General features: G+C 39.1%; 1 long non-coding RNA gene across 1 annotated transcript in view; it reads left to right on the top strand.

Annotated features, from left to right (window-relative positions):
* The window catches only part of LOC124908051 (uncharacterized), a 35,249-nt gene extending 11,473 nt beyond the window's left edge, over positions 1-23,776 (top strand). Inside the window, exon 2 of the long non-coding RNA XR_007088651.1 lies at positions 23,407-23,776. This is a non-coding gene — a long non-coding RNA (uncharacterized LOC124908051). The remainder of the gene's footprint in view (positions 1-23,406) is intronic.
* The last annotated feature ends 2,588 nt before the right edge of the window (positions 23,777-26,364 follow it).

Genomic DNA, 26,364 nt, shown 5'->3' with positions numbered 1-26,364 from the left:
ATGCCACAGAGCAGGGGCTCCAGCCCTGGGATCCTCTTACATCTTGACACACAAAAGCTTCTTTCAGAATCCAAACTAACCAAACAGGAACAATTTTTATTCCTGCATAGGCTTCTCTGGAGCATGTGTTCACATTTAAAACCCTGTCCCATGTGTCATAGGCCCACATTCAGAGTCATTTGTATTCTTCGGATTTGCAAAGCAACTGCCACCAGGACTTCACTTGGTCACCAGTAGCCCAAAAACAACTGCAAGTACAGTTTACTTTCTAAAACATGCTTTTCACTGAGATTCAAATTCCCCTTTCTTTGACTAAGTACATTATTTGTGTGGGAAACTATAGCTTTTTCACCATTGTTACGCTGTTATAAACATTTAAATATCATACACCATGCCCCCCTCCAAATGGCAAAAACATATACATATCCTAAGGTGATGCTATTTAGAAAGCCGTAAAATACCTACTTTTTGCTTTCCTTTAAAAGGCAACGTTTTGGAAAGAATTTTTCAACCTACTTCAAAAAAGTAGTCTTGTTCTTTAAAACTGCTAGGCTTCCCCAAAACCTACATGCTATAAACATAAGGAAAATATTATAGATATATGATCAAATGCATGTTTTAAATCTGAGCCAGTTTTTTTTTTCTGTGTGTATGTGTGTGTGTGTGTGTGTGTGTGTGTGTGTGTGTGTTGATGAAAAACATTTTTCTTGTAATACATTATTCGGCACATTCTATGGTATTTTTCACAGTTTCTTCATGTTTGACATTTTAGCCAAATCTGTTAGGAGGGGAACCAAAATGAACTACAATATTTAGCTTTCAATGAAGAAAATTAATAAAGGCAAGTTTCTTTTCTTTAAATAAAATTGTGGGTGGCTGGGTTTTTTTATGTGATTTTAAGAGCTCAGAAATTAACTGCCAATAGTTCATGATGGATAATAAAATAATTTTTAAATGTATAAATATTTCGAGATATGCACGCTGTGAGAAGGAGAGGAGGAGAAGTTAAATAGAAACACCTCCCCCCAAACCTGGCAGAAATAAAAAACTTCCCATGATGAGAAGTACTTTGTAGAAAACAGGTGAATAATGAACTCTTATTTTTATTCTTTTCTTTATGAGTTAGCTTTCTTACAAAATCTTGAGTTACCTCAAGTTTTTACTCTCTTGTTTGTTTTACATTACTCGGAAGGTCATGATTTGGGGTGCATTTCCTTACTCTAGCAGTCCCTTAGTGAAAAGTCTGAGTGGTCTTCTGGCATTTTCTTTTTAATAGCAATTTCAAGTACAGGATTGCTGCAATGTAGAATCATTTTTGAACACGTGCCCTAAGGCCACAGGACAATGAAGAACATTTTGAAGGCATCGATAAAATAAAAATAAAACCAGCACTACTGTTCTTTGGAAAGCAATAATATTGCTCTCGGTGGCCTCAACTCTCACCTTGGCCTGTTTTCTCACCTGCGAGCAAAAGTCCCCTTGAAACTGGGGGAACTCAGAACCGAGTACAGAGATGAGAAGCACTTCTGCCTCGCTTGGAATTTTCCTCTGTGGAAAAGCGTACCCTTTGTATCAGAGAATTTGCAGACACTTCTTGCCAAGGAATTGTTTACATTATTATTTTGTCCCACAAAGAATTCTATGATATGCGTGATTCGGTCAAACTATCCCCTTTGCTTCCCATAGTTGCACTCCTTGTAGAATACAAAGAGTTAAGATGATGTTTCTTGTTGTAGAATTAATCAGATTCATATTAGCAGTAGTAAATGTCATGTTGGCACCTTTTCCTTCTCACACATTACAGTTTCAAGTCTTTGCTATGAGGAAATAATGAAGTCAAGATATGCAGTGCCATACACCGTGCATCTTTTTTGTCAGGCTGCATAAGAAATGAATTGTATCTGCTACTAAGGGGGTCAGAAGAGCAGCGAGTTAAGAAGACTGCTTAAAGAAATGACATGTCAAAGGAAACAAAAACTTATTTTTTAGCACTTTCGAGGTGGATTGCCTTTTTGGAAATGAAATGTTCACAAATATCCCTATGTGATAAGGCTTGGTTACATTTAATTGCCTCTTACCAAGCAGCTTTGAAGTTCCCACAGCTTACTTATTGAGATCAGTAAAATAAAAACGACCTCCTTGGCAGCATACTTGAGCACTGTCAGGAGAGGGAAATCCTTCCGTCTGGTATAGAATATTCAAAGCAATTTTGAGTTTTGAGGTCACCCATTATAACCAAGTAATGTTTCAGGTACCATAAGGAAATATCAGGCCCTGCATGGGATCATAATCACCATCCATAAATAGCTTCGACATAAGGCAGGTTGTGCAAATTACTATAATAGAGATATAAGCAATTTCCCGTGGGATGTCACAAGAAGAAAGGAAGGTTTAACTTCAATAAACTATTGCTTAAAAATAAATAAGGTGATCATTTCTGTGGTCAGCTCTGTTCAATTCACTTAACTTTGTCCAGGCAACTAAATCCTATAAGTGGTTTTCTCATGGAATGCTATGAGATTCAAGTGAGAAATGTATATGAAAAGCATTATGTGCTATCAAAATGCAAATAAATTGTGTCTAATCATCATCATTTTAATCACTACTTCTAAATACCAAATATAGTAGACCTGAAATAAAGAGATCCTTCTAGACTAGAGCTGCTCACTTGTGGTGTGCACAAATTCCTTGCAGACTGTGTTAAAATCAGATCCTGAGCCAGTAGGTCTGGAATGCAGCCTGAGATTCTGCATTTCTAACAAGCACCCAGGTGAAGATTACGCTGCTGGTCCTCAGATCCAACTTTCTGGAGCAAGGCTGGAGGCTTTCTTTTGGGGAAGGCCCAGGTTTTGCTCAATCTTTGCCAACAGCTTTGACCCTTCATTGTTTCTGTCCAACAGTTACTAGAAGTCCTTCCCTATAAACCACTGCATGTTCAAGTAACTCAGTCTCCCACGATGTTTGGTCCAGTAACCAAGCACCCTGGCTCACTGTCTTGGAATGATACAGGATTTTGAAATGCCTCCCAATTGCCCCATGGAATTCACTCATTAGATTCTCTGCCACCTGGTATGTTCTCATGCAATAGTCTCCTTTTGATCAAATCTTACCTACAACACCTCATCCTGTATTCATTTACCACATCTGACTTACAGCTGTGGTAACGGTGCTTAACATGTTTCAGGGCCACCGTAACTGTAACTCCAGGAGTTACAGTTCCCCTTGTATTTTACACAAATTCTACGTGAGTTTTGCTCTAAGAGCAGGCACCATTTTCAACGTGAATGGTGGCCTTTTGAGTTGTACAATGCCTCAGTACTGTAAAGGGATTTTAAAATTTACAAAGTACTTTCACAGAGAATAATTTATTTAAACCCTGAAGCAGACTTTTGAGGCAGGAGTTGAGCTATTATCCCCATTTTTCAGCTAAAACAACTTTGAGAGTTCAAGTAAACTTTGGGGAATTAAGTCATACAGATGGGAATAATGAAATAAAAATGTACAATCAAATCTCCTGCTTCCTTCCTCTCCCCATGTTTCATCATCTTCATGCCTCTACTTTCCACCTTTCTTAACTAAAACAGAGAATGGATCCCAGCAACAACCATGACATATTTGAGTTAAATCACTTTTATTGTCTCAACCTTGTTTTATCCCATCAGCATTAGTCACCTGACAATGTTTGATGTTTCTAGGAATTTAAAAGTGTTCTTTTTCAGTTTGATGTGACCATTTAAGGTCATACATTTATCTCCTCTACTTCCCTAGAAATAACACTAGCCTAAGACAAGATACTATCATGCACTGCATAATGTTGTTTTAATCAACTATGAACTGCATATACAACAGTGGTCCCATGAGATTATAATTCAGCTGAAAAATTCCTACTACCTAGTGACACTATAGGCATCATAAGGTTGTAGCACAATTACATTAAAAAATAAATTTAGTGGCCGGGCGCAGTGGCTCGTGCCCGTAATCCCAGCACTTTGCAGATCACGAAGTCAGGAGATCGAGACCATCCTGGCTAACACGGTGAAACCCCATCTCTACTAAAAATACAAAAAATTAGCCGGGCATGGTTGTGGGTGCCCGTAGTCCCAGCTACTCGCGAGGCTGAGGGAGGAGAATGGTGTGAACCTGGGAGGCGGAGTTTGCAGTGAGCCGAGATCGCGCCACTGCACTCCAGCCTGGGTGACAGAGCAAGACTCTATCTCAAAAATAAAAATAAAAATAAAAATAATAAATAAATAAATAAATAAATGTAGTGTAGCCTAATGTACAGTGTTTATACAGACTACAATAGTATACAGTAATATCCTAGGTCTTCACATTCACTCAGCACTCACTCACAGCCTCACTCAGAGCAACTTCCAGTCCTGCAAGCTCCATTCATGATAAGTGCCCTATGCAGGTGTACCATTTTAAATCTTTTATACCACAGTTTTTATTGTATCTTTCTTATGTTTAGGTATGTCTGGATACAAAATACTTACCATTGTGTTATAATAAAGTAGGCAGTGCAGTAATATGTTGTATGGATTTGTAGCCTAGTACCAATAGCCTATACCACATAGCCTAGGTATGTAGTAGGCTATCCCATCTAGGTGTGTGTAAGTACTGTCTACGATGTTAGCACAATGAGTAAATTGCCTAACAACAAATTTCTCAGAATGTATCCCCACTGTTAAGTGACACATGAGTATTTTTAGCATTAGGGGAATATTTAAACCTAGACTGGCATCTCGAGGAAGGTCTCCTACACAATTCTGGATGATACAGCACAGGTAAGATTGGAGTGAAGGAAAAAATGACTAATTTGAGTTTCACATTAAGATGAAACTAATGTTGGCCATGGAAATGGATGGTAGGGACCCGGAGGGAGGTGAGAGCAGATCACTGGACAAGAAGGGAGGAGAACATATTGAATCTCCCAGATTCCCAGGAAACCCCACAGGCACTAAGGACCGGGCACTCTGAGGAGTAGGCCCTCAGCATTTACTGCTGGGATGCACCTGGTATGGACAGCACAGAAACACAGAGGCTCGGCTGCACTGATTTAATGGCAGGCATGCAAGCCAGCGAGGAAGTCAGCTGTGACTAGGCTGCTACTTCAAACTGACTGCACAAAGAGTCGATCTGGCCCCCGTTACAGCTTACATCTCTGGTGACCTCCTTTCTGATTCCTGACAGGCCACAAATGCTCATTAAACTTTTCCCTTATCTCCTGATTTCTGCTTGAAAGAGTTGAATAAGAATCCACCCAATCTCAGGTAGAACCATTTCAAGTGGTTCAAGTGACAACACATGGCTAACAAGGACTTCCTTTCTCAATAACTATGAAAGTGAAAAACAGTATCATGGGACATGGAATGTGTTTAACTGTTCAAATCAGAAGAACGAAGATAGATTATGACAATAGACTTTCAATATACATGACAGGCAAAAGACTAACTTCTTAACTATACAATTGATTATAAATTAGTAGCCAAAAAAATCAAACTTCCAATGACAGGGATTAGAAACCAGAAACTATACACCAGGATATTACAAATAACAAGGAAGCAGCCACAGCATTATTGATATCTGAGAAAGAAGCATACAAAGAAATGTATTACACACTCAAGATTAGAACAGTCATGAAGATTTGACCACCAAATAACATCATAAAGGGCAATTTAAATTTTTAAAAAATTGAAAATTAAAGGAAGGTTTTGACAACCCCCTCTCTATCTTTAACATATAAAGTAGATAAAAAATAAATACAGGTTTAATAGACTTGCATCAAACTCTGCAGTTTACAGATAAAAAATATACATTGCCTTAAGAAGTATTTTAGACAATTTTTAAAAAATTCAATAAGCATTTGTTGAGCCTGTACAATGAGCCAAGAGTTTACATATTATTTATTCCCTAAAATAAGCTTGTGATGTAGCTGTTACCCTAGATTTACTGATAAGAAAACTATAACTGAGGAAGTAAGGGATTATTTAAGGTAATGTGATAATTAAAGTGATAGATTCCATTGTACTTGTAACTTTTAAAAAATCTTAATCTTTCTTTTTTTGTGGATCAATTTTAAATGTATAGAAAGTTAGCAAAAGTAGTAGAGTTGTACAGTTCGCCTATACCCCTCAGCAAGCTTATCCTAAAGTTCACACCTTACTTAACAATATTAAAATAATCAAAACCAGGAAACTAACATTGGGGCAATACTATTATCTAAAGACCTTATTCAATTTTCACCTGCTTTTCCACTAATATCCCTTTCTATTCTGACAACCTAGGCAGGACCCCGCTTTGCTTTTCACCTGGGGCCCCTTCAGTTTCTATTAGTTACTCATTCTCACCTTAGGTCTCATGATCTTGACACTTTCAGAGAGCATGCGGTCATTTGTCTTGTAGAATGTCCCTCAGTTTGGATTCATCTGATATTTTCTCAGATGGGGACAGAGGCTATGCAGTTTGAACAGGAATACCAAAAAGTGATGTTGCTTCTTTCTCAGTGCATCTTATATCATAAGGTTCATGACATGCATATGTCTAATTGTTGATGAGGTTGACTTTCATCAGTTAGTTAAGGTGGTGTCTGTTGAGTTTCTCCACCTATAAAGTTACTATTTTCTTTTTCTTTCTTTTTTTTTTTTTTGAGACGGAGTCTCGCTCTGTCGCCCAGGCTGGAGTGCAGTGGTGCGATCTCAGCTCACTGCCAGCTCCACCTCCCAGGTTCACACCGTTCTCTTGCCTCAGCCTCCCAAGTAGCTGGGACTACAGGCACCTGCCACCAAGCCCGGCTAATTTTTTTTGTATTTTTAGTAGAGACAGGGTTTCACCATGTTAGGCAGGATTGTCTCGAACTCCTGACCTTGTGATCCACCCGCCTCGGCCTCCCAAAGTGCTGGGATTACAGGTGTGAGCCACCGCACCCGGCAGATTCTAAAATATATTTGACCTACCTCTGAGAAAGCTAAGATTTTATTCTAAGGATATAATTATTCATAGGCACCTGGGCGTGGTGGCTCACACTTGTAATCCCAGCACTTTGGGAGGCTGGAGTCAGTGGATCACCCGAGGTCAGGAGTTTGAGACCAGCTTGATCAACATGGCGAAGCCCCATCTCTACTAAAAATGCAAAAATTAGCTTGGTGAGGTGGCACAAGCCTGTAACCCCAGCTACTCGGGAGGCTGAGGCAGGAGAATCGCCTGAACCTGGCAGGTGGAGGTTGCAGTGAGCCAAGATCACATCATTGTACTCCAGCCTGGGCAACAAGAGTTAAACTCTGTCTCAAAAAAAAAATTATTCATAGGTTAAGAGAAAATAATATTCATCGCAGTTTAGTTCATAATAGTGGAAAAAAATAGAAATGACCTAAATACCCCATAGTCAGGAAACAGATTATGTAAACTGATACCTTTATGAAATGAAATATTATATATGCATAAAAATAATATTGTATAAGAATATTAGTGATGGAGATATTCACAAAATATTTCATTATTAAAGATGTTTTTTCAGATATTTTTAAAATGACTTTCATTATAGTCATATTTAGTATTAATTTATACATCTAGAAATGTATACAGAAGTTATTAAAAGTGGTTAGCACCATGAAGAAGGATTATGGGTGATTTTGACTCTCAGCATCCTACCCCCATGATAAGTTCAAACAGGATTTGAAATATATATGTGTGTGTATAAATATAATATACATTTATATCTGGTTTTAAAGTATTAATCAAGCTGTATCAAACTGGCTCTACTTCTAAATTCTGGAAATCCTTTTAACTTGTTCTCTCACCTTTTCAACTGCGCAAATTAGTCTTTTTGCTGTTTCTTTTTTTTTTCTTTTAAGAGGAATAAAACAGTGCTTTAAATAATCCATTTCTGAATTCTGAATATGGGTTTTAAAAAATGTAACTGCTTATCTATTTCCCTTTATTGCACATTTGTACATATTACATATGTGTCTTCTATTTGTGCTTTCTTCATCTTGAACTTTCCCTTAATGATCATCTATCAAAACAGAGTCTTTTGATTATTGACAGCTTCCATATTCTCACAAACACTCAACAACTTCCTTCTCCTATTTCCAGCAAGTTTAGAAACTTGACGGTTTACATGGTTCAGTGCTCAAGGGCTCTTGATTTATCATTTACATTACCTTTTGGACTTTTGTTTCCTTTCATACTTTTTCTTATTTTACATTTGAGTCCTTTAATTCTTCTCGGCATTTCTTTCCATTGGCAATGCAGGCTGCTGCAGCAAGACACGTGATCACAGGCCTCTCTTCCCACACTTGATTAGCTGGTAAAGTTAGAGAAATGGCGCAATTACTATTTTAGGTGTTAATTTTCGTTTTTTGTTCAAATCATAAATAATGGATTCTCAGCACCTTCCTGTCATCGTCCCTCTGTGCAGCCAGACCCTGGGGAGTTCCCTGGAGGCCCTGGCTAATTTACCAGCAGGGCAGCAGCCTGAGGGGGGCGCATCCTTGCAGAATTCAGAAAACTGGAGAGTTTTCAGTCCTGGTAGAGGGGAAACAAAGCACCTAGTAATGATTTTATTAGTGAATAACATCTGAGACAAAACAGAGATATCTTTACATCAAATCAGCCAGGTATAAAATGAATTGGAAAAGTAAACAAAGATTTAGATACTCCTCAAATTCCAAACCCAGACAGAGACATACGGACTTCAGCACAATTTTCCTTGGATAGGTAATTCAGGCAATCAGTTTTGTCTACTCGATTTGTCACTAAAATAGGAAGTTATGACTGGAAATCTCAGCATAAAGGAAACTTTTCTTTTTATCGCTTCGCTTAAAAAAATGTGTTGTTGTAAATCATGCTGGGATACCTGGCAATGGCATGACTAATTTGTGTGTGAAAAGTAAATCCTGTCTCATCCAGGATCCCCATGACAAGGATATCTAAATTATTTTCTTAAAGAAGAAAGCAGGGCTTAAATTCAACTCTTTGATAACTAAACATTCCAAAGAATTTAAATTTCAGGAACTTTCAGTTCCAGCTGCATTCTAAAAACTGTTTATTAAAAACTGAAATCAGATATTTTCAAATTACTAAGAAATTCATTTCCTATATTTTGTTGTTGTTCAGGAGTGTCTTGAGTCTCTGCTTTGAGCCTATCTCCTGTTTAACAGCCACCCAATTGCTATCCCTAGGCAGTGAGGACAGGATAAACGTGATCTAGTCTCTGCATTTGAAAAGCATACACGTGAATCATTTTTCCCCAGAGTTGTTTCTATTTCCCTTTCATCTCAATTTCCTCACTTGTAAAATAATGTCAGTTGAACCACACTGTTCCATCTCTCTTTGGTGACATCCTAGAGAAGTCATTCTCTATGTGTTTGCAGTTGGAACACTATTCCTCACCCAAGTCTCTCTCTAAGGAACCTGTAGCTTTGTAGCTACAAGCATGGACTTCAGAATCTGGCAGAACTGAATTTAGATCTCATGAGAACTTCAGCATCAGTTTTGACCTCCCTTTGCCTCAGTTTCCTTTTCTGTAAAGTAGTCATAATACCATCTACTATATATAGTGATTCAGAGGGTGAGAGGCTGAGCACGGTACCTATCACAAAGCAAGTGTTCAATTAGTAGTAATACAGTAATGAGTGTCAACTCATGTATTTCAAGACTGAGGAAGAAAAATTGTGATCTTTTGTTTCAGTAGCTTGTTCTATGAATACTGTGATGGATTAAGTAGTTGATTAAGTTTCTAACTATAAACAGACTCTTTTTTTTTCTCTTTTTTTTTTTTTTTTTTGAGACGGAGTCTCACTCTGTCGCCCAGATTGGAGTGCAGCGGCGTGATCTCGGCTCACCGCAACCTCTGCCTGCTGGGTTCAGGCCATTCTTCTGCCTCAGCTTACCGAGTAGCTGGGACTACAGGTGCCCGCCACTGTGTCAGGCTAATTTTTTTTTTTTTTGTATTTTTAGCAGAGACGGGGTTTCACTGTGTTAGCCAGGATGGTCTCGATCTCCTGACCTCGTGATCCACCCGCCTTGGCTTTCCAAAGTGCTGGGATTACAGGTGTAAGCCATCACGCCCAGCCTTTTTTTCTCTTAAATCAAAGTAATACACACTGTTTGTAAGAGCCAACAAATTAGTTTGTCAATTGGTAGAGAGAACCCTGAGCAAGAGTGAGAAAAAGTAAATTTTAGTTTTTTCATTATTTGACTTTAGGGAATTGACAGATACTCTCTTGGTCTCCTTTCTAACATGAAGAAGTGAAGCTAGATGATTTTTATGGACCCTTCAAGCTCCAACATTGAAGGAACTCTGGTCCTCTCAGCAGGGTGGTTTGTAGGACTAGGGACCTGCGTACACACCTTGTTTCAGTTCTCCATCTTCAGCCCCAAACTCAAGATCTGGCATATCATGAGTGCTCTTCAGTTCATGTTTGTTGAAACCTCCATGGGTATGGAGGGGTCCCAACAGCAGCAGATACTGGGTAGATGAACTTTCCCTTTAACTAAAAGTGGGGCTTGTTGTTATTCAAGGAACAGGGTATCCCTTCTGCATAGCACCACCAGACCTTCAATTTCCCGTTAAACAAGTACCTTCTGCCTCACGGACAAGGCCTTGTGATGACCACTCTTTTCAATTCTTGTCCTACCAGTATTGATGATTGAGCAACAAGACCCAGTGACATTCCTCATGTAAATCTTTTCCAGAGAGAATTTTGCAGTACTCTAATCTGTGGAATGTTCTTAGGTGTTATGTAGAAGAAGGGTTCCTCAGACCTGTTTCATTCACACCAGACTAAATAGCATTCAACAGTTTCTTAGTGCTGACTTCTCAGAGCCTTAAATGTGCTCTTAGTCACTGGGAAATCACCCAGTGTTTGAAAAGGAGCCTTGGGAGCATTTCTCTGAATGGGTATTCCTTGGTATATATTTTAACATTAATACCAGTCATCGCCAATATTCTTGCACTCATTTCCTCTGCATTCATTTTTGAATGATGTGGGCAGCTCAGAGGTCATGATTTTTGGAACTCAAAATCAACTGGAAGCAAGTCCGTGGATTTGGTATCTAGAGGGGACAGCAAAACTGTTTTTCCTCATGGGGGCAGCCATGACCTCATCACATGTGAGCATATATTCTCCATTCCCATTGTGTCCACTTGTCCTGCTGGCATAGGAGGCGTATAGGAGAAGCATCTTTTCTGGTAGTTTACTGGTGGTTGAAGGATTCAGATCTTAATCCTCATCGCCAAGTAAGTGAAAGAGAGATATTTTCCTATAAAATTTCAGGAGATGTGTTATATCTTATTAAACTACAATGGGATTCTCTCTTGGAGCTAACTTTTATTTTTTATTTTTTTAGAGATGGACTCTCGCTCTGTCACCCAGGCTGGAGTGCAATGGTGTAATCTCGGCTCCCTGCAATCTCTGCCTCTTGGGTTCTAGCAATTCTCCTGCCTCATCCTCCTGAGTAGCTGGGATTACAGGTGCACACCGCCACGCCCAGCTAATTTTTTTGTACTTTAGTAGAGATGGGATTTCACCATGTTGCCCAGGCTGGTCTCGAACTCCTGAGCTCAGGCAATCCACCTGCCTCGGCCTCCCAAAGTGCTAGGATTACAGGCATGAGCCACTGTGCCCAGCTGGGGCTAACTTTTCAAAGACACTTCAAGGCACTGTGAACTGGGTCTGTCTCTTTTTTGTTGAAGGTCTTGCTCTACATAGTGGGAAGCTTAGGGCAAGGAGAGTATTGCCTGTGTATACATATATCATAATAAGAAATCATTTTTTTTCTTCTTCCTTTTTTTTTTTTTTTAGAGGCAGGGTCTCATTCTATCATCCAGGCTGGAGTGCAGTGGCGCGATCTCGGCTCACTGCAACCACTGCCTTCCTGGCTCAAGTGATTCTCCCACCTCAACCTCCCAAGTAGCTGGGATTACAAGTGTACCCCACCACACCTGGCTAATTTTTGTATTTTTTTTTTTTTTTGTAGAGATGGGGTTTCGCCATGTTGCCCAAGCTGGTCTCAAACTCCTGAGCTCAAGTGATCTGCTCGCCTCAGCCTCCCAAAGTGCTGGGATTATAGACATGAGCCACCGCACCTGGCCATTTGTTGTCTTCTAATCCTGTATTTCTAAAAAAACAGAAAAGGATTAAATCTCACTATCTTGCTGAGTAAATCACATTTGCATTCTGGTTTGGCAAAGATTACAAGCTGGGTGTGGTGGCTCAAGCCTGTAATCCAAGCACTTTGGGAGTCCGAGGTGGGCAGATCACTTGAGATCAGGAGTTTGAGACCAGCCTGGCCAACATGAAGAAACCCTGTCTCTACTAAAAATACAAAAATTAGCCAGGCGTGGTGGCTGGTGCTTGTAATCCCAACTACTTGGGAAGCTGAGGTGAAAGAATCGCTCGAACTGGGAAGGAAAAGGCTGTAGTGAGCCGAGATCTCGCCACTGCACTCCAGCCTGGGGGACAGAGTGAGACTCCATCTCAAAACAAACAAACACACACAAACATACACACACACAAGGTCACTAAAGAACTTGAAAACACTGAGGGGGAATGTGTTTCCAAGAAAACTTAAAAACCTACACATCATCTATTCATTCAAAGAAGCCTCTTCCTGACATCCCACTTCCTTGTCAGCTCCCTGCTGCTCTTCATGAGTATTTCACTGACATGCATGAAGAATTTACTGTATGCAAACATTGTGGGGGGCTCTGGATACACAGAAATACTAAAATGCCATCTTGAACCATAAGGACCTCAGAGCCAGAAGGGGGCAACGCATAAATTATAATTCAACAAAGCAGGAGCATATTTACTGTGCTGAAGGTGGGAAAGACAGTGATAAGTGAACTACATTGTGCAGGTCAAAGGGAAACTGTTTAAAAGAAATGGAACTTTCTATTAGAACTTTTCATTAATGTGGACTAGCTCCTAAAAAATAATAAAGTAGGCCAAGTTTGCTCATGGTGTATTTCTCCTTTATTACCTGAGTTGGACCACTCCACATACTACCTTCTCCCAGTGCCAACTCATCCAGGGCCCCAATTCTTTTGTTATTGCTATGGTCTGAATGTTTGTGTCCCCTCCAAATTCATATATTTAAACCTAATTCCCAGAACGATGGTATTAGGAGATGGGGCCTTTGTGGGGTGATTAAGTCATGGGGTGGGGCCCTCATTAATGGGATTAGTGCCCTTATAAATGAGAGACAGCTCTTTCCCTCTGTGTGAGGACACAGTGAGAATATGGCTGTTTATGAGCCAGAAAGTGGGCTGATCGTCATCAGATATTGAATCTGCCTTGATCTTGGGCTTCCCGGCCTCCAGAATTGTGAGAAATAAATATCTGTTGTTTATAAACCACCCAGTCTATGATATTTTGTTATAGCACCAGAATAGACTAAGGCAGGCACATACTGATCTGAGACCCTGGTACTTCTTCCTCAGGAGAAGAGTGTTAAGGCTGCCTTCGCTGGTAAGCGCCCTGTGCCCTCTGCCATCATCCCTGGGTAGATTACTTAGAAAAATCACCTGCCCAAGATTCTCCTTTCTCCAGAGTCAGGTCTACTGGGCCTTTGAGACTGCTTAATATCTGTATGCCTACCCATGTTCATAAGCTAAGGAGAGATGGGAAAATGAAAGATCTTCTCCTCTTCCAACTTTCGGGAGGAAAAATCCTTGCCTTTAATCAGGGAAAATATTTAAAATGTTTAACAACCGTTAGAGCCAGGCCATTGACCATTATGAAATGATGACACCCACTGGGCTTGAGCAAGGCACTGGAGGCAGGAAGCTAGACTGGTTTCTGGAAGCTCTTGCGTGGGGCCAGAGCACGGTTGTGGTGGCTGGGGTGCCTTGTGGGATGGCTGTTCCTGACTTCAGTATGTAACTACTGGTATGCCTCTATTGGGGTGTGCCTGCTGAGTATGGGACATGTTTTTATGATGGGTAAATGTTTTGATGTCTTGGCTCAATAAGGGAACACAGAGCTTGCTATTGTGACTCTATTAATGGGAATTTCAGGGAAGTTAGAAAAGGAAGCTAACGTCATTAAAGGCTGCTCAAAGAAGCACTTTGGAACGGGCTCCCTGCTCCTTGTTTCTCTTCTCTATTCTCTTCCCCTAAACCCAGGTTACACCATGGACACAGCTGTTATTAACCACAATCTTATAGGGTTAACTTTGTTTTCAGGACTTGGGTCAATAATGTTGCCCAATTATGAAAGCATTGCATGAGATGCCAAGATGCCTTGAATTTGCTCCTGAATACTTTGCTCAGGTTCCACCCACTTTGATTTGAGGCCACAAGTTCATTTTACCTTTTATTCTACCTAAGTGGAGAATTCAGAAGGTAAAATTAAATATTTCTTCTAGAAGGAGTAGATGCTTCCATATAAGTGTGGAACCCTCTGATTGATATAGCCATTACATGGATCTTGTTAACAGAATTTATGATATCTGAATGAGACAAAAAAGGATGAGTGTTTGTTAGAGAAACACATTGAAAATGTTAGCCTCTGCAACAATATGAAAAATGTAAAAAGTTGTTTTCAACTAGAAAATAAGATTATATCAAATCTTTTTTTGTTTGAATGTAAGACAAGCAAATGACTCTTGACTGTAATTTAGGTAACACAAGTCAAGGAAGACTCCACTGCAGTGTCTGATTGACGCTTCTGAAATAATTGGGGATGCAACAAAGATCAGCTTTAACAACTACTAAAACTTCTGTAGAAATTACTAGGGAGTTTTTAAAAGGTGCTTGTTTGTTTTTGACAGCACTGGATTTTGCTTTCCCCATGATTATTTATATACAAGCAGGAAATCTGCTCCAGAAGGCAGGTTATAAGAAATGTTTTTCAATCAATGAGAGTTTACAGAATGTCCATTTTGGAGACACGGTTGCTTTGTTTTGTTTTATTCATTTTCCTGGACCACTACTATGGTTGCTTTGCATAAGTCAGCCAACCTACTGTGGAAGAGATTTCTGTACATTTCCAGCAAATACCTGTACCTAGGACATGTGTGCAAATAGAGGATGTAACAAATGGGTAAAGAGTGATAGCTTACTAGGTTTGTGATGGTGTGCTTTCATTTCCAACAAAGCTTTAAATAGGTCTTTCAGGCTTGGTAAAAAAAGATTAAAAATATCTTTCCCTTTTGATTTGAAGAAACTATGATTTTTTTCTATTGTCTTGGTGTAGACTTTTAATCTGTAATGTTAGTTTGCCTCCAGCAAATCATGTCTATAGGATGTTTCCCAAACCGAACTATTCTAGAGGGATTTTCAAATGTCTTTATCCAAATAGCACATAAAAACTGTGTTACTTGAGAAAGTTCAGACAGACATAATAGCAACAAAAATTCTCAACACATTTTAAGTAAAAAGCCCTCTGGAAAAAAAAAGCAGAAATTAAAGAAAAACTGCTCACCTAAATTCTTTCTGACTAACTAAAAATATGTACACTGGGGAAAAAGCAGACTGTTAACAATGCCAAATTAGCAGACACCATTAGCAAAGCTGATCCATATGTCCATATTCCGAAAGTTTTGCATACCTTTCCAATCAGAACAATGAAATAATTCCTTTAATCAAATAAAAATCAGAACCACAATTTTCATTATTTTATGATAAGGAAAAATCACAAAAACCTGTAAATCCCAGTATTCCTTTTCCAGATGTACCAATTTAATTTGTAATTGCAAGACACTGCCTGGTTTTAATGAATGTGCAACATATGGATTAGTTCATTTCACTGCCTTTAGATGTAGGGTCCCCAAGAGCAAGCGTAAATCTTGTTAACCACAATCAACATTCTGGAGATTAAAAATTTTTAGAGATAAACGTTTCTATTACTCTGTTGAGCAGCATTATATCTGTGCCTAAGTTGTTTCTCGTCTATAATTTGGACAGTTCCAATAACTGGCTACCACTATATTAGCCTTTGCCTGTATAATTAAGTATTTTAGGAATCATTCATTCAACTACGAGTTTTGGTCCAACCAAGTAGCACAAACTTTCTCCAAGGGAACACGATTAGAATAATTGCCACTCTAGGCCACTGTGAGTCATGCTGATTTGTTTAACCAAAATTTAGTTTTGTGCTGGTGCTGCCACCAAAAGATTTGTTCTTGGGCATAGAACAAATTAAAGTGGAATCCAACTGTTTTCCTTAATAAAAACATATAATTATCTTAATTATGAAGGCAGGTGCAAATATTAGCATACGCACTGGAAGGATTTGTCTTCACTGGCGATTGCCCTACGTGTGTTGAACGGCTCATCTTTGTAGAATGGAGGACAGGGCTTCTATCCACAAGGTAGGATTCAGGCGAGTCACTGCCCTCCATGAATTTCTTGGAGAAGCAGAGCTTTGAAGAAAAGGCATGAGAAGGGAGTGAAAGCCAGCAGATCAGAAGGTTGACTGTGGAAGGACATGTACAAGATGGGACAGTTTTCTAATTTCTGAGGCTAATCGTTGCTTTTACTCAAAGAACACACTTTGTCCAGCAAAACATTTTGTACTTACAATCATGCTAATTAGCCAAGAAATGAAACCCTTCAAACTTATAGTTTTAGCCAAGTATATTTTTTCTCCATAATTTGTGGAAAAACTCTTAATCGCAGGAAACCGGATCTAGTCGTTGTACTTTTTAGTTAGCTATATTTATCCATAACAGCATCTCACTGAGGTCTAGACACTACCAACCAGCAGGGGCCATCACAATATTCTGTCTTCCCTAGTACTTCTGTAAAATTCTGTGTTCACTCTATCCTAATTTAGGAATTTTATTCAGTAAAAATTTAAACCACTCTAAGCAATTAGTCACTCTACTGTGAATGCACATTTTTTACATGAGGTAGATAGTTCTGAGGTGACGTTTTAATGAGCATTTGCAGGTGAAGTTTGAATGTAGTGCTGTGCTTGCCTGAGTTGGACAAAGGGGAAAGGCAGGCATTAGGGATTCTGACACAAACTGTTTTCACTTCCAACTTTTGATGAAAGGCTTTTTGGATCTCTGATATGTGGGCATTCAGTTATTTCCTACCTCTACCCTTAATCTTCTGATTTTTGAATTGATCACCTTTCTTGCGGTGGCAGAACAAGCAATTTCCTCTGCATATGATTTAACTGCTTTATCCCAATGGTATGCTTACTGTGTGTATTATTCGCCTTTCTCATGAGTTTGTAAGCTTCACGAGGACAGGGAACTTGTCCATTTTGCTCTCAGAAATTTTGAGCATCCAGTGCAGTGCACAGCACAGAGTTGGTGGTGAATAAATACGCTGTTAATTTCAAGAATGGGTAAATGACTATGCTGCTTTGCATTTTATCAAGCATTCTACACATTACATGTCTCATTGCTAGTTTTCTTTTGCTTGGGACAAAGTGTGGCTGTTGTTCTTCTTTTAGTCAGTTTGCTAATTTACTTTCGTATCAGTGGGTAGGCATAAACATCTTTTGGTTTGTTAGGCCCATGAATTTAAATGTCAAGTTTTATAGTGTAATAAAAATATCTCTGAAAAGTCATTTGGACAAGGTAACTTCTACTACCACAGAATGCCTTCCCAGTCTTCTGGGTGTGAAAAATCAACATCTCACTTTTTCCCCGCTTCTAAAGGATAAGCCCTGAGTAATTTAATGTATCTTCACACCCTTGAGTCCAAAGGCCCATTAGTAAATGTTTACCAAGAGCAGCTCTCCTGTTTTCCTTAGGGAAAGCTAAGTGAAAAATTAGTCTTTTTACTTCAATAACTAACTTTATTCCTACAGCTGTTTCAAATACTGAAATTATCCTTCAAATGAAGCAAAATAATAAAAAATTAACAGTTTATTTTATGTTGCATATATTATTTGCACATAACTCACAGATCAGGCCTGTCTAGACTCCAGCATGTGATATTTTAATTGTGTTTCCAACATGTCTATAAATTAGTTGTTTACAACTCAAAACGTGTTTTCCCATGGAAACAAAATTGTTAAAGGTGATTTGTTTTTCAGGCTAGATGGCTGCTGCTTATCATAGCACAGTGCTGGTTAGACCCTGGATGACTGACCTCCCTGTATAAGCTTGACACTGGGCTGAGTGTTGTACATTCATTATCCCTGATCCTTGCAACCCTTTGAGGTGGCTATGTTCATTCCCACTTTATAGATGAACTGCTTCATTATAGGGACACCCAATAAGGTAAAGCTGAAGAGGCAAAGCAAGCAAAGAGTAGAGCTTCAATTTGACCCAGGCCAGCTGAGTGCAAAACTCCAAATCTTCCTATCATGCATCTGAGCCTCCACAAAACCTAAACAATGGTGAGGAGACCAGAGGATACAGAAGAGGTTATGAGAGATGGTGATATCTCTCAATAGGTACATGAACTATGGAAACTAGTAATTGTTAGCTTCCTGCAGAATAATTCAAGATCCTTTTGGTTGAAACTGGAAGTGTTTGAGACAAAGCAAGTATCGTAACCATGGCCCTAAATAGAAGCTGAAAGTCCTGGTAAGAGATCAGGTCAGTTGGTCATGGCCACCATTTTGAGTGAAAGCGGAGTAAGGACGTGAATAGGGAGAAAGAAAACTGATGATAGAGAGAAAGAGACGGGGAAGGAGCAGGACTTATGTAAAAGGGAGAAAGGAAAGCATTTCAGAAGTTGTCCTATTGATTAATTACTTCCCAGGTATTACTGAAACATCATACATTAATCATGGATAACACAAACATATATTGTCATGGAGCTGCCTATGTTATCAGATGCTACACTCATCATCTGGTAGATGATCCTATAGAATATTTAGAATAGCTACAGGGAAAGAATATTATTAGCATGAGAAGAAATAGAGTTGTGATATGTGATGCTTTAAACCATTAGGAAGATGAATGGGCTAAGTGATAACTCCCAAAATGTGATCTACCTTTATAAGAAGATTTTACAAGTAAGGACTCTGAAGTGAAAGTAAGCACAGCATCAGCCCTGTAAATTTACTGTCAATATAGAGAAAATAAATCATGCCTTCGGTGATGTAAAAATCCAAATAAAATAAAATGAAAATAAAACAGTAATATAACAAAGCCTATAAGGAAAATTATTATTATTACAACTACTCTTATTGGCTATCTTTTATTGCATTCTTACTATGGGCCAAATACATTACAGAAGTCTTATTTAATCTTGACATTAATCTTGCATGGTATTGCTTTATTTTACACATGAAGAAACAGGCTCAGAGAAGTTATATAACACTCAAGAGCAGAGAGCTACCAGCGGTAGAGATAGGATTCAATGCTTTTTATACATCTTGCTTGCACCCTTTAACTATGTTATAGTATAGAACAAAGGTATAATCTTTTTGTCAATGACAAGAGAAAAAAAGAAACCAGAAAAGTACTATAACAAAATTTTCCTAAATAACAAATGAGGCGGCATGGCTGATTAACATTGAGCTGCATTATTGGATAAGGGTTTAGAAACTTATTGACGTAAAAACATGTTTGCTCTGTTTTAGTACATGAAAAATTCTTTTCCTTCAGTGATTCAAACTATGTTTCAGAACGTGGAGCAATTTTAAAACCTGTATCAGAAACAGTGGAATTTATGAAGGAAGAATGAGCACATCCTCTCAGTCACTGAGCTTAAAATTTAGGAAAACAAAAAATGGAACAAAAATGTGACATTCTTGTCACATAGTCCATAAGTCCCATAGGACAGTAACAAAGAGCAATACAATTTTCAAGGAGGCCTAGATGGTCTCCGACAGGGATGATCATGGAGTGGCTTTCAGATAGAAGTGGCACTTGAGCTAGGGCTTAAAGGATGTGTGGGCAGAGACGATGGGGAGGCATTGCAGACTGAATGACTGCAAAGGAGCTGGAAGAAGAAAGTCGTCAGGTCCACTGGGTGAGCTGTCTGATTTAGCAGCATTTACAGTGAGGTTGAGGGATATAATGCTGGAAAACTGGGGTGTGATGCTGGGAAAACAGACTGTCTTCTGAAAAAACAAAGGGCTTGGTTTCAGGTTGATGAACTCATATTTACTTTTACTCACAGACGTTGTTTAACCAGCAACTGTCTTAGTCCATTTTCTGTTGCTTCTTACAGAATACCTGAAACTGGGTAATTTACATAGAAAATAAATTACTTTCTTACAGTTGTGGAGGTTGGGAAGTCCAAGGCCATGGGCCCCTCTCTGGTGAGAGCCTTCTTGCTGATGGGGAAGCTCTGAAGAATCCCAAAGTGGCGCAGAGCATCACACGGTGCGGGGGCTGAGTGTGCTAGCTCAGGTCCCCCTTCGCTTCTTACAAAGCCACCAGTTCCACTCCTGTGATAATCTATTAATCCATGAACCCATTAATTCATAAATGGATTAATCTATTCATGAGGTCAGGGCCCTTGTAACCTAATCACATCTTAAAGGCCCCACCTCTGAATATTGCCACATAGGGGATTAAATTTCAACTGAGTTTTGGAGGGTACAGTTAAATCATAGCAGAAGCATACATGTTTATTTAACAATAACAATTATTTATATCTTATTATATATCTACATGGTACTTCTAAGAATTTTACCAATACTAATTTATTTAATTTTTTTTTAGATCCTTGTGAGTTAGGTCCACTGTTTACCTGTGAGGAAATTAAGGCACAGAGGGTTAAGTAACTTGTCCAGTTTATAAAGACAGTAAGTACTGGAGCTGGGATTTGAACTCAGGCCTCTGGCTTGAAAGCCTGTTCTCACAGCCTTTGTGCTGTGCTGCCTTGGAGGGGGAGGTTAGTGTTATAGGACATTGAATGTCCTATGTAAAACTCTTCTGGAAACAGGGAAAACTGGAGTCAGGGCAGCTAAGAAAATATCTCATAAAGTCAGAAAAATCCAAATGAGATGGAGGACTGGCTGTAGAAGATACACACTTGATCAGGGCGTGGTAGTTTGTGCTTACAATCTGGCTAGTCTAGAGGCTGAGGCAGGAGGATTGTATGAGGCCAGGAGTTTGAAACCAGCCTGAGAAACATAGAAAGACTCCATCTCTGAAAAAAAAAAAAAAAAAAGGAAAGAAAATTCGCAAAGCACTGTGGCACATTGGCACATGCCTGTAGTTCCTGCTACTCAAGAGGCTGAGGCAGAAGGAGCCTCCCTGAGCCCAGGAGTTTGAAGCTGCAGTGAGCTATGATCTGGCCACTGCACATTAGCCTGGGTGACAGAGAGACACTCTGTGATACAGTTTGGATATTGTCTCCTCTAAATCTCATGTTGAATTATAATCTCCAATGTTGAAAGTGGGGCCCCATGACTGGATCATGGGGGCAGATATCTCATAAATGGTTTAATGCCATCTTCTTGGTGCTGCCCTTGTGATAGTGTGTTCTTGGGAGATCTGGCTGTTTAAAAGTATGGCACCTTCCCCTTCACTCTCTCTTGCTTCTGCTGTTGCCCTGCGATGTGCCTGCTCTCACTTCACTTTTTGCTACTGGTAAAAGATCCTTGAGGGCCTCACCAGAAGCCAAGCAGATGTTGGTACTGTGCTGGTATAGCCTGCAGAACTGTCAGCCCATCAAATCTCTTTTCTTCGTAAATTTTCCAGCTTCATATATTCTTTTCAGGTATACACTTTATTGTAACTGAGGACCATTCACATAAATCATTGCAAAGTGTATTTTTTTTTTTTTTTTTTTTTTTTTTTGAGACAGAGTCTTGCTCTGTTGCCCAGGCTGGAGTGCAGTGGCACGATCTCGGCTCACTGCAAGCTCCGCCTCCCGGGTTCACACCATTCTCCTCCCTCAGCCTCCCGAGTAGCTGGGACTACAGGCGCCCGCCACCGCGCCTGGCTATTTTTTTTTTGTATTTTTTTTTTTAGTACAGAAGCGGTTTCATCATGTCAGCCAGGATGGTCTCGATCTCCTGACGTCGTGATCCGCCCGCCTCAGCCTTCCAAAGTGCTGGGATTACAGGCATGAGACACCGCGCCCGGCCTATTTTTTGTTTTATTTCATGCTTTTGCCTTGTATTTTTGCCTGGAACAAAGAGTTTCTGATTTCTTTTTATTTGTTTTGTTTGGTAGTTTTTACGCACTTTACCTTTAGTCTTTCTAAGTAATTTTACTTTGTGTGGCTTTCGTACACACACATACACATTTTAGTTTTGTTTTCTGATACAATTTGTTTTTCTCTTAGTTGATGACTTTATTCCCTCTATGTGCATTGATATTAAGGATATTTCTCATCTGTTTTTACATATGGTTTCTTAGAAAAAATCTTTTGCAAGTGGTTTTTGCTGTTGCATATATATCTGTACATATGTGTTCGTGTGTATTCCTTCTGGCAAACTGGCAGAGGCTTTGAAGCAAAAAAGCCACAAACCTTGGTAACTTTGTAGATGTGGGTGACAGAAGAGAAGGAAAGGCCAGAGGTAAAGAGCTTTGTTTTGAATACGGACTACAGTGATGATGACCTTGAAATAAGCGGATAAATTAAAGAAAATATTTTAGGGAAAGAACACTTGTCATCTTAAATGTTGTGTATAATAAGGTCTTGGTGTGTCATTTTTGTGGAAAAGACTAGCAGATATTTGGATGGGGTGGAAATGATGGGAAACAATTTACCAGCGAAGCCAGGTCAGACTTGGGAGTTGGAGTAATGCAGTCAGGGCATAGCCCAGCAGCTAGGAAGGTGAGCTCTGTCCTCAGACACTTTTGAAGTTGGAGCCTATTTCCTCCATTCACAACAATGCTGCATTAGGAAAATGTTTCTATCTCTTTAAGCTCAGAGGTTTTCTCAAAAGAAAAAAAAAAGGCATTTTTGCCTTTTATGGTTGCTATAAGAATTAAATAAAATCATGGAAACAAAGTCTGTACTTATTAATACAGAACCTGGCATATAATAATCCCTCTACAGAATTTAGCTGTTATGATGGTGTATATATGACATTATACCACATATAGCATATACAATCATATATAGATATATAATGATCATTTTAAGCATTGTCTCAGCAGATGAGAGACGATAGAAAAATTTCAAAGAATTTTTGAGAAACAGACATGTCAAAAGTAGGGTATAATAAAGGAAAAAAAGTAGGGGACTAAGAAATGAGAGTTGTCATTCAAATCAGCAAGGAAAAGTAGATTTAGTGTGACAAAAGAGCAGAGGTTTAAGAGGAAGCAGTTGGTTCCGTCGGTGAAATGTCTCTCTGCAATGAGCGACACCAGGCAAGGAGGAAAGGCCACGGTGCGTGGGTCGCAGATGTCTTTGGTGTTTTTCAGAGGAGAGGAAAGTTTGGAGAGGTTAGGGGTTACATTTTGAGCACAAGATCCTTCTTTAAAGATCGTGAAACTGTGCCTCACAGGGTTAAATAGACCAAAGAACTGGTTTAAAAGGGACTGTTGATTAACAAAATCTCTGTGTTTATTTTGCAGGATGTCCACTATGAGACCACAGGACCAGCTGAAACCCGCCAGAACCAATATGACCGACTGGAGCTCGCGCAAGGATTTGCCGGGCCACGGGGTGATCTTTTGACGTCACCGTCTGAACTTCCGCCCCAAGTTTCATACTAACTCCCCCTAAATTTTCACATGCCACCCATGAAGAGGCAACTGCACATGGGCAAGGGACTTTCCAAACATCCCCGTTCCCTGGCCAATCACTAATCTACCCTGAAACACTTTCCTCCAAATCCTTCTTTTACAAATATGGCTTTCAAGCCAGTACAAGGAAGACAGTTTTGAGCCCATCTCCTGTCACGTTGCTTGGCCGTTTTGCAATAAACCTTTCTCTCTACAAAAATCCCAGGCTTCATGTTTACCTTTCCATTGCTCACGGGTAAATGGACCTGGTTTGGTTCTATAACAATCGTTTGGATGAGAGATTTGGTAATGACAGGAAAGGAACTAGACTAATCATAAAAAGGAGTGGCAGAGTTGGGACAATCACTGGAAGTCAGCAAAAATATTAGGGGAAAATCAGTTGATGTGGGGGGAAACTTAGGCGGAAATCAGATGATAGCCTGCCATGGCGGCTACTGCATCCGCATGAGCTGATGGACTTTAGGTGCTCAATAAAAACTTCAGTTCAATGAATAACCGTATCAACTTATTGGAAGAGGAATGGGTAGGGAAGCTAGGAGTAGGGGCTTCTGAAAAGTAGAAGAAATGATTTAATTTTAAAATCACCTAATTTGACGGGTCTGCATTTGTTCCTGTCTCAGCCTCAGTGGGGAAACTTTTAAAAAAATAAAATATTATTGTACAAACAATAACAGAATATTACATAAAATTTAAACGGTTTATGTATGGGGATGAAACTCCTGTCTTTTCCATCATACTTATATAATTAAAGTAATTTCTGTGTATTCCCTTCCAGTCCTTTATTTATATGCAGTCATATTTTTACATAATTGCAACCACAATATACAGACAATTTGCATTCTGCTTTTTAATTTAGTTCAAGAGAAGTTTGGCTAAAATTATTTGAAAGAAGAAAATAAAATATTGGGTATAAATATTCAACTACAAATGAAGGAAGGTTTTGTTCATCAATCCTCATCTCTAGAAAGGGAAAGCAATAAAAGTGAGGTAAAGCAATTCGACAGCACTTCCCAGTTCTTATTGGGGAAAAAAGAGCTTTCAAACTTACGGAACTGAATAAAATATTATAGCTAGAGGCACTGGTAGCTTTTGTAATATTCTGCTAAGCATTGCTTCATGCTAAATCTTGAGGTTTTCTGTTAAATTGCTTTTAATGCCTTACTGTAAATATCCGTTTTGTAATAGAGCATTGTTATCATTATTACTATTATTATTAATTTATATTTATAAGATGACAATATGTGAAAACTCTTTACCAACATTTGAAAAACCCCATTTGATCCTTGCCTGAGGGACAAAACATAAATTAGAGGAATACAATGCAGGAAAATGATGGGCACATATATGGTTTCAGCAATGGTATGGATTTCAGGCTAGAAAGGCTCTGCAAAGGAAGCTCTGTTGATGTGATGTCTGAATAACATGGAAGTTTCTACTCTGAATAAATTTTGCCTATGATTCATGAGTCTTGTGAAGTTTATAACTTTTTTTTCCCTGAGGCATCCCTTCACAAGTTCTATAATTTCCATAATACCCCTAAATTTTAAAAGCTCTGGATGTGCAGCTAGAGGCAGCTGCAGAAGATGAAAAAAGGCGACAGGCTTACTTTCTCCTCTGCAGTCAGTATTTTCTATTAACATGTCTGCAAAAATAGGCCCTGTGCAAATGGACACTTAGAGGTGGTCCAAATAAAGAGAAAGAGGGGATTCATTAGTTGATTGACTTTCACTTATTTTTGATTGGAAAAAGCAACCTTAAAAACTATAAAATTATTTTAAAATTCTAAATTTCTAACTTCATCAGTATCTGTAACATTGACTTTGGAAGTGAAAATAGGATAGCATAAAGTCATGCGGCCAGATGCAAGAAAGTAAGCTTGCTCTTTTGATGGAAGGATGCATGGATCTGATCCACATCCAAGTTTTCTGTCTAGTCAACTAAAAAGCATACAGACAGCTTAGTCAGCCACATAAAATAATTGATCAGAGGCAGAAAATTTCATAAAATTTTAGTAATTGATTTCCAGCAGGCGAAATTTCAGTCATTTCTCAAAGGCAGGTGGCCCTAAGCACATTGATATGTTTATCTGTTTTCTTTAATTCTTCCAAGGAAGATTGTAAACTGGGAATAGTACAAGGTTTGACTTTAAAGATGGCCAAATATAGATATTTGTGAATTTTAGTGGCCTGAGTTCCATAGGTAGAGATTGTATAATCTGTAACATTTTTTTAAAAAAGAATGTTTACATTAACAATAGCCAGTAATTAATGTTTGAATATCTGTTATGTACCAGTCACTATCCTAGCCACTTCACAAATAGTATTTCATTTAGTGCTGCGTAATTGTAAAGTATACATTTGGTCTTGGCCCCTTGGTTTGTAGCAAAAAGCCCTAAAACTCTTGGAATCTTTGGAGTAATGAGTGTTCTTTGTATGTGAATGGGGTGATGGATGCAGCCCCTAGGTAGCTTCAGAATGGGGATTGGTCACCAGAAAGACCATAGTGGGATTAGAGGTTGGGAACTTTCAGCCCACACCACAACACCAGTCAGGAGAGAAGGTCTGAAGGTTAAGATGATCGCCAATGGTTAATGACTTAATCAATTATGCCTGCATAATAAACCCAAAAGGACTTACTTTGGGGAGTTTCCAGATAGCTGAACACATACAGGTTCTTGGAGGGTGGTACACCTGTGGAGGGCATGGAAGCTCTATGCTGCTTCCCATATACTTTGCCCTATGCATCTCTTCCATCTGACAGTCCGCTTGTATCTTTTGTAATATCCTT

The sequence above is a fragment of the Homo sapiens genome, chromosome 2 (genome assembly GCF_000001405.40).
Source record: "Homo sapiens chromosome 2, GRCh38.p14 Primary Assembly".
Lineage (NCBI taxonomy): Eukaryota > Metazoa > Chordata > Mammalia > Primates > Hominidae > Homo > Homo sapiens.
Note: the sequence above shows the minus strand (reverse complement) of the source record. Positions and strands in the feature narration are given on the sequence as shown.